The sequence below is a fragment of the Homo sapiens genome, chromosome 5 (genome assembly GCF_000001405.40).
Source record: "Homo sapiens chromosome 5, GRCh38.p14 Primary Assembly".
In the NCBI taxonomy this organism is placed as follows: Eukaryota; Metazoa; Chordata; class Mammalia; order Primates; family Hominidae; genus Homo; species Homo sapiens.
The window spans coordinates 107490041-107503712 of record NC_000005.10 but is presented as its reverse complement, the minus strand read 5'-3'; the positions used below and the strand labels follow the sequence as shown (position 1 = coordinate 107503712).

The 13672-nt window shown below is 42.1% G+C and overlaps 1 protein-coding gene across 3 annotated transcripts in view, besides 1 other annotated feature; it reads left to right on the top strand.

The window, feature by feature from the left end:
- The window catches only part of EFNA5 (ephrin A5), a 294044-nt gene that overhangs the window by 167225 nt on the left and 113147 nt on the right, over positions 1-13672 (top strand). Inside the window, exon 1 of one of the 3 annotated variants that reach the window (XM_011543250.4) lies at positions 1494-9810. The exons of the other annotated variants lie outside the window; for them this stretch is intronic. Coding sequence (XP_011541552.1) covers positions 9740-9810 — 71 coding nt within the window. The 5' untranslated portion in view covers positions 1494-9739. Of the gene's footprint in view, positions 1-1493; positions 9811-13672 lie in introns of those variants that run through there. 3 annotated transcript variants of the gene reach the window in all.
- Positions 4022-4523: an enhancer, noted in NCBI's record as "NANOG hESC enhancer chr5:106834891-106835392 (GRCh37/hg19 assembly coordinates)". NCBI's record gives its function as "activates a minimal SCP1, AML or CMV promoter by ChIP-STARR-seq in primed H9 embryonic stem cells {active_cell/tissue: H9 hESC(primed)}" and the evidence as "EXISTENCE:reporter gene assay evidence [ECO:0000049][PMID:30033119]".

The window sequence follows — 13672 nt, the reverse complement described above, 5'->3', positions numbered from 1 at the left end:
TAGCCTTATCCTTAAGACCTTATCTCTTTATAATTTAAGTGCTTTTACATATTTTGCCTCATTTACTTTTAAAGCTTCATGATACAGTGATTTGTGTGGGTGGCACAGTTCTTACTACGTAAGTAGTGAAACATAGCCATAGGTTAAATGATTTACTCTTAATTTTATGCTGACTTTTTCAGGCAATTTCTGAGGCTTTATGTTGCCTGTATTCTGAGCAACGAATGATTGAAAACAGCGAGGAATTCTGGAGATAGACATCGGAACACCTCTTCTTAGAAGATCACATTATTCAGAATCCTTAATGATTCTTACCTTTTGAATGACAGATTTTTAGTGGACATAAAAACTGCTAATGAAAGTAGGATGGTTAGAACTGTTGACATTTTACGTGAAGGCATTGCAACTGGGCAAAACATATTCAAAACATCAGGTAGTATTTTGTTCACTGTGCACCGAAGGCAGATGACTTCATTAACTGGTGACAATTTTACCAATCCTGGAAGCTTTGATCTTGAGGGGAAACGATCCTGCATAGTAGACAAGTTTATTGGCAATAGATGACCTGGTAGTAAACAGTGGAGTTCACAGCTGAAACTGCACCCTGTGCCCGCCCTTTCCCAACATGCTGTGATGCATTTTGAGCTCTTCCATTTTAGCTTCCATTATCCACCACCCAAGTTCTCAATTCAATTTCAGACTCGGGCAAAAGCCTGTAATTCTATTTGTTTTGGGTAAATTTAGCAAGCTGCTCCTGATTACACCTTAGCCAGAGACCATCTGTTGACTGGCGTGCCTCTCTGAGGAGTGGTTCCTGTAGGCAATGAATGGGAAGAGGGTTGGAGTGCTGCTGCTATTAGTAAGCAGATGCACCGTATCAGAGATAGTCCTTCCCGCCTTTCAATCTGCCAGCTCTCTGTATTGATGGAGTGTCGTATGCCTGCGAGTCGTTCCATCCTGAGGCAATGAGAAGTGCTCTCCTAGGGTCCATTTATCAAGTGCTTCTACTGGCATTTGATGGAAAGGAATTTAGAAGTCATAGTTTGATACACTTCGAGCACGGCCACGTTCTCCTTTGCACGTCCTGAGTATGTATGTATGTGTGTGTATATATCAACCCCATGTACATGCTTTTCAGCAGTTATGTGCTGTCAAAAGCCCCACAGATGAAACAACAAGATACAGCTGTGCTTCGTAATGTAATGAGTAAACCGCCACAGCAATTGTGTCAGGATCACAATTCTTTAAGGCACTGCTTCCTAAAATGATTGCCGGTTCATTTGCATCAGATAGGGAAGATGTGCTAGATAAATTCAGAATGTCGAGGAACAGTTTGATGTTGACTGTGGCATGATGAGGGATCTTTCTAAATGATGATACTGTTAGCTCGTGGCTAAGACGAGACTGGTCTAAACACAACAGAGACGGCAGTTTCCTGTTGCAGTGAGTCATGAGAGGAAATGGATAAAATGAACATAAATTAACTGCATTTCGTTTTCTAAGAGTTGGAGAGGGAAGGGAAGGAGGCAGTGGATGGCCAGTGTGCCTGAAAACTGGAATTAGATCGGTGAACTGAGAGGATTGGTTTCTGCCCTACGTTGGGTGAAGAGGGGCAGTCCTCATTGCTAACAGCCGCAGGTTGGTGTAATTAACTAACTTCCGTAGGCAATGCCCGGTGTACATCTTGAAAACCCATCAGATGGGGTATTTCTCACTGACATCAGCTTTTAAAGGGAGGAGGGCTCATAGTTGTATCACAGCTGCAGTACTTTTCTTTAAGGCAAGAAACAGTTTAAATCAGAGAAAATTTCACAGGATTCTAGATCGACTACTTTTTTCATCTAGTTCTATTATTTTGACCTTATGGCCGTTTTTTGTTTGTTTAATGGCGTGAATTAAAGTGTGACATTTCTGTCCATCTTTTCACGTACAAAATCAGCATTCGTTAATTCAGGTTATGAAAATAATTGCTGCTTCAACAAAGTGAGGCTTAAAATACCACAACAGAAATGTAGCCGATAGTATGTATCTTAACTTTTAGTTTATAATGACTGTATTAAAATGATATTACAGTTTTAAGTTTTTCAAACAAATAGTGAATGGTTGTGCAAAATAAGACACTGAAATATTTTTTAAAGAATTAAAATCACAAATGTTGAATGAGAAAAATAGTTTCTGAGAATTTCTTTGCTAAATCAGGGCAATTTGGTTTATTGCCAAACTGATTAAGGAGGGGCTGATTTCATAAGCTATAATATCTGTACTTTTATGTCATCTCTGATATAACAGTATATAATGTATTTAAGACTGCAGATCATCATTAAACCACATAATGATTGTTACACAGATAAAATAAGAAGCTTAATTTGTAGCTAAAGACTGTATCTTATTGATTGTATAGTTGATGTTGTGTTGTGCAGGAGGTAAGAAATATCCTAAGTAAGAAACAGAATATTTTAAAAAAATATTTACAAAATCATATAGTTGAGTCAATATCTATAAGTGAGGCTTAATCCATGCAAATAAATTGTTTTAACAAGGGCCTGTGGCTTTAAGAATGACACTTGATCTATATGCTGTAGAAGGCTTGTAGAAGTTGTCCTCATATTAGTTTATACTATGCACACAATATGTCCTTATCTAGCCTGATGCATGCTCTAAAACAGGAAGCATAAAACCAAGACGACACCAGGTATGAATAAATAGTAAGAGTTAGGAGCTGGAGCTGACTCCACTGTGAATTCTCCCACTCACTTGTTCACAGGTTTCTTCCTGCAGGCTTCAGGATGAACAATCCTGGCTGAAATGTTCACAGGAAACCTTTTTGTTTTGTTTTTTTTTAATGAATATTTTTTAGGTACTTGCTATTTGAAGAAACAAAGTCAAGGTGATTTAAGGGCCAGGCAAATATCCCTTAAAGACCTTTGTTATAATATAGCCCTTTTATTATATTTGAATATATGCTCAGATGCCTGCAGAATTTCATGTTCCAGTCAGGGTAGAGCAGGCTAATTTTTAAGGGACATGTGCTTCAGTACACAAATAGGGTAATAAATAAGACTAACAAGTGTGCATTCAGGCTACATGTATAAGAGGGTAAGAGGTGAGACAGCCACACCATATGAGGATAGGGTTGGGTGGAAACAAAGCCAGGCTAATGGAAAGCCTTGCCTGCTCTCTTCTAGAAAAAAATTGAACTCAGGTCAGTAAATAGTGCTGCACTCTGGGAGAGACAAGTATATGACAGGTCTTTGCTTTATGTGAAGCTTACAGTGGGACTAGGCTTACCCTGGCAAAATTATTACAGAACAAGAAAGACTTTGCAGTAAAGAGCAACAGAAAGAAGAAATGCAGAGCTACAAATACTTTCTTTAGCAGATATACGTATACATTGTAGGGAAAACGTAAAAGATCAGCCTTCGTGCCCTACAGACCACAGTTAATAGTGATGTTTGTGGCAGTTTTTCCTTATTGCAGATTATAAATAGTTCCAGGGAACAAATAATTACTAATGATCAACTTATAGTTGGAGATATTATATTGCATTGGTCTCTCACAATGGAGGTTCTGCTTTGACACTATCCAAGAGTGGCATTTGGGTGAATAAAAAGAGAGGGGAATAGAAAAGCTACAACTGAAGCATTAGTTAGAACACTGTCAATGCCAAATCACAACTGCTTTGTGCTGTGGATTCCTTTCTGCAGGCTGCAGGATGAATGATCCGGGTTGAAACACACACAGTACACTGCAGAACTGAGACTGTGACCCATGGGCTTTCTCCTGCTGGCCCCTCTCAGATATTCCAGTTGGTGTTGCTAGCTTTACAGTCTCCATGGGCCTATTTACCTTGGTAATTTGCACCTGATGCATTTATATTGGTAATTTTTTTTCTCCCTGGAACCCTGGGATCTCATTTATTCACTAGTGCAATGAAGTGGTGGAGTGAAAATCCCTCCCTAACTCAAGGAGGGGAAGAATTGTTTAGGGAAAATAGCAACCCTGCTAACTGCAGCTCTAATTAAAACACCAAAAGAAGACTTGTTCTTATTTAGACGTTGGCTAATACCTGTATCTCTGTGCACATATAGGCCAATGCTAGTCCATCTGTGGGCATCACTGCTAACTTGCTAACCCTTTAAAAAAATCCAGTGTCAATATGTTTTTGTTTCAAAAGAAAACAATGACAGCCCTAGGATGGAAACACAGGAATTCTTTGGCCACAGCTTGCTAAAACCATGCTTGGTAGTATGTGCATGTAGGGAAAATTACTTTGAATAACAAAAGCACAAACAAGGACTCATAGAATAATAAGCAATTAAGGTGGATTAACAACAGTTGCCGAATTCCAGCTGTTGGCTGCAGATGCAGGCTCTTTAATTCAAACTAGTTGCAACCTGTTGTTACTCAGAGACAGAAAGGGAGAAGAGTATATCCCTGGCAGTGCCCATATCAGGGCAGGTTTATTGTTGTGCATTGTGGGAGATTTAAGTATTGAGGGTATGTTTACTTTCTCCCGATTTAAAAAAAAATTTCATCTTTCTTCTCTTTTTTTGACATCTTCCTATATATATTTGTGTCTTTCGATTTAGAATGACTAACCAAAATCTATGTGCTTGCTATTTGGTTATGATAATGAAAAAGGAGAAGAGAGCAAAGCAGGTGTCTGTTTCCAATGGAAATCTCACAGTAAAAGAAATCAAAGACTCCTTTGGCTGATACACATACATACATACATACATACATACATACATACATACTTATATACATAAAGAAAAGCACAGGCCCCAACGACACAACCTGGGGAAACTATATGAACAGGTAATTTACAGGGTAATCACCATATGTAGTCTATCCCCTGCAGCCTTATCACAGTGTGTACATTGGCATCAAACCTACCTCCTTGGAAAGCCTCATTATTAGTATTCAGGAATAGTCCCTCTAAGCATATTGGCCAGAGGTCTGAGGTGCAGGGCTAGCTTCATGGCATTCAACCTGTGCTGTCACACAGGGCCCTGAGCTCAGAAGGGCCCCATACTTGGCTTAAGGCTCCGCTGTCACTGTCTCAAAATTCTGAATTTTATCTTTGAACTAGTGTTTCATAAATGGAGCATCTTCATGAGCCGAGGCGATGTGTGATATGTTTGTTTGTCCATTGTGGCACTATCTGCATATCACATTCACAGTTTTTCACAAATACAGAATTCTGATAGACTATGATGTGTGGGGGTCCAGGGAAGCTCCAGGGGAGTAGAAAGTAAGTGGATTATGGAAGCTGTCTGTTCCTGTAGTGTGTTGGTATAATATGCATGAATCAAGAAATTTGTGAGTGAGTTTCAGTTGAGTTAGTTGTGTAGTGTTTCCACTGCCCTAGTAAGAATGAAATAAATATACGTGTATGAGCTATGAAAAAAGGTTGTGTCATATTATTCCACATGTAAGTTAAATGCTCTTATATTTGCATTGAAACTGTCACTGTACCATATAAAGATAAATTGTAGGCCGGGCTTGTTGGCTCACGCCTGTAATCCCAGCACTTTGGGAGGCCGAGAAAGGCGGATCACTTGAGGTCAGGAGCTCAAGGCCAGCCTGGCCAACATGGTGAAACCCCGTCTCTACTAAAAATACAAAAATTAGCTGGGCATGATGGCACATGTCTGTAATCCCAGCTACTTGGGAGGCTGAGGCAGAAGAATCACTTGAACTCAGGAGGCCGAGGCTGCAGTAAGCCGAGATCGCGCCACTGCACTCCAGCCTGGGTGACAGATTGAGACTCCGTCTCAAAAAATAATACTACTAATAATAAAAATAAAGATAAATGGTAAACTTCATGCTAATAATTAAATGTTTTAGTTTTTCTCTCCTTTGTTCAGAATGACTTTAAATAGCAAATAAAAAACATCATGAGAAATTGAAAGTTTGTGGAAGAAAGGAAAAAGCTTTAGATGTTAGTGTTCTTAATGGCACTGTTTTTTTCTTGCTTTTTGAACAAGGAGTCCTACATTCTCATTTTGCACTGTGCCCTGCGTGTTATGTAATGGTCCCCACAGAGGTGGTCTATAGCCTCAGATTTAAGTGGAACAAACTGAAGAAGTTGCTAAGATTTTCCAGCGCTCCCTAGGTAGCCGTGAGATGCAGACACCAAACAAGCATCTTATGCCTTCTTTAGAACTTTAGCTGATGCAAACCAGACAGGTTCCCATTTAATCAGATCTCACCACATTTCAAAGTTTCTATCTATTCAAAAAATCTTTCCCAGCCTTTACGTCTTAGGCAGCCTATCTTTACATGACTATTATTTCTCCAGTATTATTTCTCCATATAAGGCTCCGTTTACCTTCTAGATGTGGTTAGCAAAAGGAGTAATTTTATACCAATACAGTTACATAAAATAGCCTCCCTGCCCAGGCCTCTGCCTCTGATCCTCTCCTGATTTTTTGTTTTCAGCAGAATATGAACCTGTTCCTACAAATGAGTTAGGAGATGTAAATGTGTTGATTTATTTGTCCTCATGTACATCAACAATTTTTTATAAAAGATCACCTACTACTACAGATAGCAAAGCAAAGCCGACTAATGCTTTGCTCGCGATACCATGGCAACTTACTAACCAGCTTCTAGGCCCAAATTGTCTTAATAAATGGAAGCAACCTCAGGGAGCTGGTTCTGAAACTACAGGTGCCTACTTTGGGACAATGAGAATGCTTGTCAGGAGGAGGGCAGGTGGTGAGCCATGCCAAAGGAGTCCAGGGGACATTGTCCCCATTAGCATAAAGCCAAGACTCTAAATGGATATGACTTGCTCCTAGGAGCCAAACACATGAACTGTCTACTTGGTACTTTCTGAAAACTACTTTGTCTCATTCAGGGAGATTATGGCCTAGTCTGAAGGAGGAGAAGCCAAAAGCCCTGCTACATCTGGGTTTAGTCCTAGGTTTGCTGACCCACGTTTCTTCTCCAGGATGTTCCTCCCCAGGAATGGGTCATCCACTAATGGAAGTTGCAGTTATTGTTTAAGCGCACTTTATTGCTTAGCAAGCCCCAACAGACAGCACCAGCTGTTGTCTGGGGTAGAGTTGGCAACATTTTCCCACAAAAGGCATCTTTGTATATTCTGCTACAAATCTGTGTCAGTGAGAGCAGGAAGGAGGAGAGGGGTAAGACCTACCAAACATGTAGGTAGCGTTGTGATAAGGTACTTCTCAATCCCTCCTAAAGGCCAAATGCTCATCCTCTATGGAAACACAAGCAGCTGAACTGGAATAACTTGACATTACCTCTCAGAAACATGGGATGAACGAGACTCTCTGATCTTGTCTGTAGCAAAGAGATGCTGGGTAGTTGTTGTTTTTTGTTTTTTTGTTTTTTTTTTTTTTTTTGAGATGGAATTTTGCTCTCGTTGCCCAGGCTGGAATACAATGGTATGATCTTGGCTCACTGCAACCTCTGCCTCCCAGGTTCAAATGATTCTGTTTTCCGAGTAGCTGGGATTACAGGTGCCTGCCACCACGCCCAGCTAATTTATGTATTTTTTTTTTTTTTTTTTTTTTTAGCAGAGACAGGGGTTTCACCATGTTGGCCAAGCTGGTCTCGAACTCCTGACCTCAGGTGATCCACCCACCTTGGCCTCCCAAAGTGCTGGGATTACAGGCATGAGCCACCGCGCCAGCCTGCTCTAAGTAATTTTGGGGAAATTGGGTTGACGTTAGAGGAAGGACAGAAAAAAGAGGCCTGGACAAGCAGTCAGGAGGTGGATTTCTTGATTTTATCTCAAGCCAGTACAGGAGGTGGCTAAAGCTTGCCTCCTGCCTTTGACTACAGAAACTACCTCTTCCTGATAGGCTGTTCTGGAATCCACTTCCAGGCAAACTGAACCCAGCAACCCGGTCAACACCAGGCCTATAACCATTGTATATAATAGGCCATGGATACTAGAAGATCCTGACTTCCGGGGATGCTTGGAAATGTATTTTTAAATGTTGTTTAATTTGTTTTTTTCCTCCTTTTTTGGTGGAGAGGAGGCGCCAAGGAGTTTCAAACTGCTTGAGAACATGGCGTTATTTGTCATACTTCCTCGTGTTCCCCTGAAATATCTTACACAAGACTGCATATTCTGTGGAGTCAATAGATATTTGCTAAAAATGAATAACGTTAAAAGTTTAAGAATTCATGGATGCTTACTGCCTAAGTCATGACATTGTGTCCAGAATTGGTGGGTTCTTGGTCTCACTGACTTCAAGAATGAGGCCGCGGACCCTCGCGATGAGCGTTACAGCTCTTAAGGTGGCGCGTCTGGAGTTTGTTCCTTCTGATGTTCGGATGTGTTCAGAGTTTCTTCCTTCTGTTGGATTCGTGGTCTCGCTAGCTCAGGAGTGAAGCTGCAGACCTTCGAGGTGAGTGTTACAGCTCTTAAGGCGGCTCGTCTGGAGTTGTTCGTTCCTCCCGGTGGGCTCCTGGTCCCGCTGACTTCAGGAGTGGAGCCGCAGATCTTCATGGTGAGTGTTATAGCTCATAAAGGCAGTGTGGACCCAAAGAGTGAGCAATAGCAAGATTTATTGCAAAGAGCGAAAGAACAAAGCTTCCACAGCGTGGAAGGGGACCTGAGCGGGTTGCCACTGCTGGCTCAGGCAGCCTGCTTTTATTCTCTTATGTGGCCCCACCCACATCCTGCTGATTGGTAGAGCTGAGTGGTCTGTTTTGACAGGGCACTGATTGGTGCTTTTACAATCCCTGAGCTAGACACAAAGGTTTTTCATGTCCCCACCAGATTAGCTAGATACAGAGCTAGACACAAAGGTTCTCCAAGGCCCCACCAGAGTAGCTAGATACAGAGTGTTGATTTGTCTAGCACCCTGAGCTAGACACAGGGTGCTGATTGGTGTGTTTACAAACCTTGAGCTAGAGACAGAGTGCTGATTGGTGTATTTACAATTCCTGAGCTAGACATAAAGGTTCTCCAAGGCCCCACCAGAGTAGCTAGATACAGAGTGCTGATTGGTATATTTACAGTCCCTGAGCTAGAGACATAAAGGTTCTCCACGTCCCCACCAGACTCAGGAGCCCAGCTGGCTTCACCCAGTGGATCCCCCAACGGGGCTGCAGATGGAGCTGCCTGCCAGTCCCGTGCCGTGTGCCTGCACTCCTCAGCCCTTGGGTGGTCGATGGGACTGGGTGCCATGGAGCAGAGGGTGGGAGGCTCAGGTATGGCGGGCTGCAGGTCCCAAGCCCAGCCCCACGGGAAGGCAGCTAAGGCCCAGCGAGAAATCAAGCTCAGCGCCAGTGGGCTGGCGCTGCTGGGGCACCCAGTACACCCTCCGCAGCCGCTGGCCTGGGTGCTAAGCCCCTCACTGCCCGGGCGGCAGGGCCGGCCGGCTGCTCCCAGTGCAGGGCCCGCCAAGCCCACGCCCACCCGGAACTCCAGCTGGCCCTCAAGCGCCGCCCGCAGCCGCCCGCAGCTCACGCCTCCGCCTCCACACCTCCCTGCAAGCTGAGGGAGCGGGCTCCGGTCTTGGCCAGCCCAGAAAAGGGCTCCCACAGTGCAGCGGTGGGCTGAAGGGCTCCTCAAGTGCCGCCAAAGTGGGAGCCCAGGCAGAGGAGGCACCCAGAGCGAGCGAAGGCTGTGAGGACTGCCAGCACGCCGTCATCTCTCAACATCATAAAAAAATGTTGGGGTAAAAAATGTTTTACATTTCATTTCTGCTCATTTTAAGAGCATTAAACTCATTGCAAAATAGGGTTTAGGATGCAGACTCTGGAGCCAGCCTGCTTCCGTTTCAGCCTCCACACTAACACTAACAAGCAGTGTACACTTGGGTAAGTGCCTGTGCCTGTTTCCTCATCTGTGACATGTGGGTAATAATTGTATAAACCTTATAGGTTTGTTGTGAATATTAAATGATAGACTGTGCCAATGTTCAATACATACACACTGATAATACTCTGAAGGCAAAATATACCAGTTGTGGCCAAGAGAGTTAGAAAAAAGGGTCTACAGCTCATTATAAACCTTGTACAGGTAGTTACTGAAGTTAACCTGTTTGCCCATGAAAATTCCTTAAAAGTACATGTTAATATTCTCCTGCCACTTAGGAGTTTACAAATCTGAATAAGTACATTGTAAATGTAAGACTTCGGTTTTCCAGAGTCTTGTAATATACTTGTTTGTTTTTGTTTTTGTTTTTTCTTGGTAAAGGAATTTAGGCATTGGAGCCATGGTATTTAGGCAACTTTTTCTTTTCTGCAAAAGCAGGCTGGTAGGAACAGTGACTATTGGTAGGGCCTAGCTAAAGAGAAACAAGGTGTGGAAAACACTGCAGTTACCGCACACATTCAGCAGTCTGGGTCCTTTAACTTTTTTTTTTAATCAGTAATTCACTTCAGATAACAACTCTAGAGATAAAATATGCCTTAGGGGTTGGCTGAAGGGAGAGAGAACAAAGGTTTTATTGGTCTTTATCTCCTATTTAGTAGAAAATATTTGGTTGTAAAAGATAAAAAAAAAACAAAAAACAAAAAACAACTATGGTGTTTGCTCTAGAAAGTGAACAAATAAAAGTAATTATTCTGGAGAGACATTATGTAACAAATAGGATATATCTCCTTTTCTCTAGGTGGTGGCTTCAAATCTAAAATAATGTATATATTTTTAAGCATTTTTTTAGCTTTCCTGTTGAAAAAAAATCTTACAAGAATAGATCTTAAAGATGTATTTTTTTTTTTTTTTGAGATGGAGTCTCTGTCCCCAGGCTGGAGTGCAGTGGCGTGATCTCTGCTCACTGCAACCTCCGCCTCCCGGTTCAAGCGATCCTCCTACCTCAGCCTCCTGAATAGTTGGGATTACAGGTGCCCGCCACCACACTCTGCTAATTTTTGTATTTTTAGTAGAGACGAGGTTTCACCATGTTGGCCAAGCTGGTCTCAAACTCCTGACCTCAGATGATCCGCCCGCCTCGGCCTCCGAAGGTGCTGGGATTACAGGCATGATCCACCGTGCTCGGCCAAGGATGATTTTCTTTCAGAGTGAAATTGAGAGCCCTAAGGTATCCTTAATTTTGTTAAGGTTCTGGTGGCGTCTGGTGGCTTCTTTCTCTAATGGGAGTCTTGCCTGTGAGAGTGACTGAGGTGAGAATAAACACATTCCTGAAGCTTCTTAAGTCATACTGAAGAGAATGAGATGATCACAACTGATAAATGAAATAATGTGTATTTACTTGAAATGCTGAACTTTTGTCAAGCATACCTTAGAGGGAAAAATAACATGCTTTCCTTTAAAAACACATTATCTATTTTTTAAATTCACTAACTTTTATAATGTCAAAGTAGGTAATGATCTTTCTAGCTGAATAGTTATCATAATAAAAGGATGACATATAACTGTTTCTTAACAGTGTCCAGGTGCAGTGTTTTAGATATAAAATCTTTGAAGCATTTTTTCCAAAATGTATTTTGAATATTTTTTTTAAAGGTTAGATTTTTAAAAAGTTTTTGTAACTTTATAAGACTGAATAATTTTTTTTAAACATGGTTTAGGAAAGTTTGTAGTTGTTTTGCTTTTATTTGTACTTTTAAAATTACATTTTTAGGCCAGGGGTGGTGGCTCATACCTGTAATTCCAGCACTTTGGGAGGCAGAGGTGAGCAGATTACTTGAGGCCAAGAGTTTGAGACCAGCCTGGCCAATATGGCGAAACCCTGTCTCGAATAAAAATACAAAAATTAGCCTGGCATAGTGGCGCGCACCTGTAATCCCAGCTACTCGGGAGGCTGAAGCATGAGAATCGCTTGATCCCTGGAGGCGGAGGTTGCAGTGAGCCGAGATTGCACCACTGCACACTCTAGCCTGGGCGACAGGGTGAGACTCTGTCTCAAAAAATTAATTAATTTAATTTTTAGTATTTGAATGTATAATACATATACCTGATACAAAACTTAAAAGCTATAAAAGGGTATACAGTGAAAAACATGTCTTCTTCCCACTCCTATTTTCCAACTATTCAGTTCCCCTCTGAAGAGGCAATCTTTGCACATAGATTTTGTGGATACACATATAAAGTCATAAAAATTGCAGACTTCCCTTATTCCAGTCACCAAGAAAAAAGAAAGAACAGTCTGGGTGCGGTGGCTCATGCCTGTAATCCCAGCACTTTGGGAGGCCAAGGCAGGTGGATCACCTGAGGTTAGGAGTTCCGGACCAGCTTGGCCAACATGGTGAAACCCGTCTCTACTAAAAATACAAAAAGTAGCCAGGCATGGTGGTGGACACCTGTAATCCCAGCTACTCAGGATGCTGAGGCAGGAGAATCACTTGAACCCGGGAGGCAGAGGTTGTGGTGAGCTGAGATCACGCCATTGCACTTCAGCCTGGGCAACAAGAGCGGAACTCCATGGAAGGAAGGGAGGAAGGAGGGAGGGAGGGGCCGTCTGTATTGCCTTGAGAAAATGCTAGAATTAAGAGTTCTGCTGCCTGAAGTATATACCATGTTATAATTTTTAATATGCCTGGAGGTGGGGACTTGTCCTGTCGTTGGAGGCCGTTTGGCCAGACCATGGAAAAGCAAGCCTATGTCCTGTCCCTAATGGTGACAAAGCCAAGAGTCTCTGAACATTTTATTACGGAATTCTGATAACACATGTGCTCTCTAATTCATAAATCACTTCATATCACAATGTGGCTTGAATGAGAATAAATGTAAAATGTGTTCTTAAGCCTTAAGCAAGTATGGAACCCAGTTTGCTTTCTAGGAGCTGAGTTTGAAGATGATTGAAAGTAAAAGAGTTAATGAAACCTCATCTTGTTTTTAAATATATAATGAGCAGGATCTCTGCAAGATACCTTAATTAATACTGCCCTAATGGTTAAGATCATGTCCTGTTAGAGTATGTGTAACTAGGATTAATACTGAGGTGCTTTTCCCCACTGGATGGTGACACAGTAAGTAAAGAGGAATCTGAGTAGCCGCTGTAAGGCATTGGTCATGACAGTGCACATGCAGACTTCTTTACCTGTATCAGTGTCCTTTACCTATGCAGTGACAAGCATAAGTCAGCGGTTAATGTTCCCTGCCAAAGGAACTCTCATGTTGGATAAACTTTGCAGTGCAGGTGGTAGCCTACCCTGCACTTCCCTGAAAGGTGAGGGTGAAGATTTCACCCCCTCGCTGGCAGGCCTGCATCTTAATGCTGCAGGGTGAGGATGCAAGAGATGCTTGATTTCTTTTGAAAGGATTCATTTGATGATTCTTTTTTTGGAAAATGTCACGCAATTCAGGGAGATAGAATAATTGTTTAACTGAAAGCATGGGTGGGATGTGTTAAAAGCAATAGCTGGGCATGGTAACGTGCACCTGTAGTCTCAGCTACTTGGGAGGTGGAGGCAGGAGGATCCCATGAGCTAGGGAGTTGGAGTCTAACCTGGGCACCATAGGAAGATCAGGTCACTAAAATACATAAATAAATAAACAAATAAATGACATAGTGTGAAGCAAGTTCACTATGCACTGGTTACCAACTTCTCTGAGTCTAGTGAGACAGAACACCCAAGCACACAAGTTATACAAAGCGGGTTTATTATCTATAGATAGGCATCAAGGAATAACATAATCCTAGAATTAATTGCTAGCTAGCTGGTCCCCCATGGTTCAAGCAAGCTGCCAAGGAAAGATGGAATCTTGTCCCTG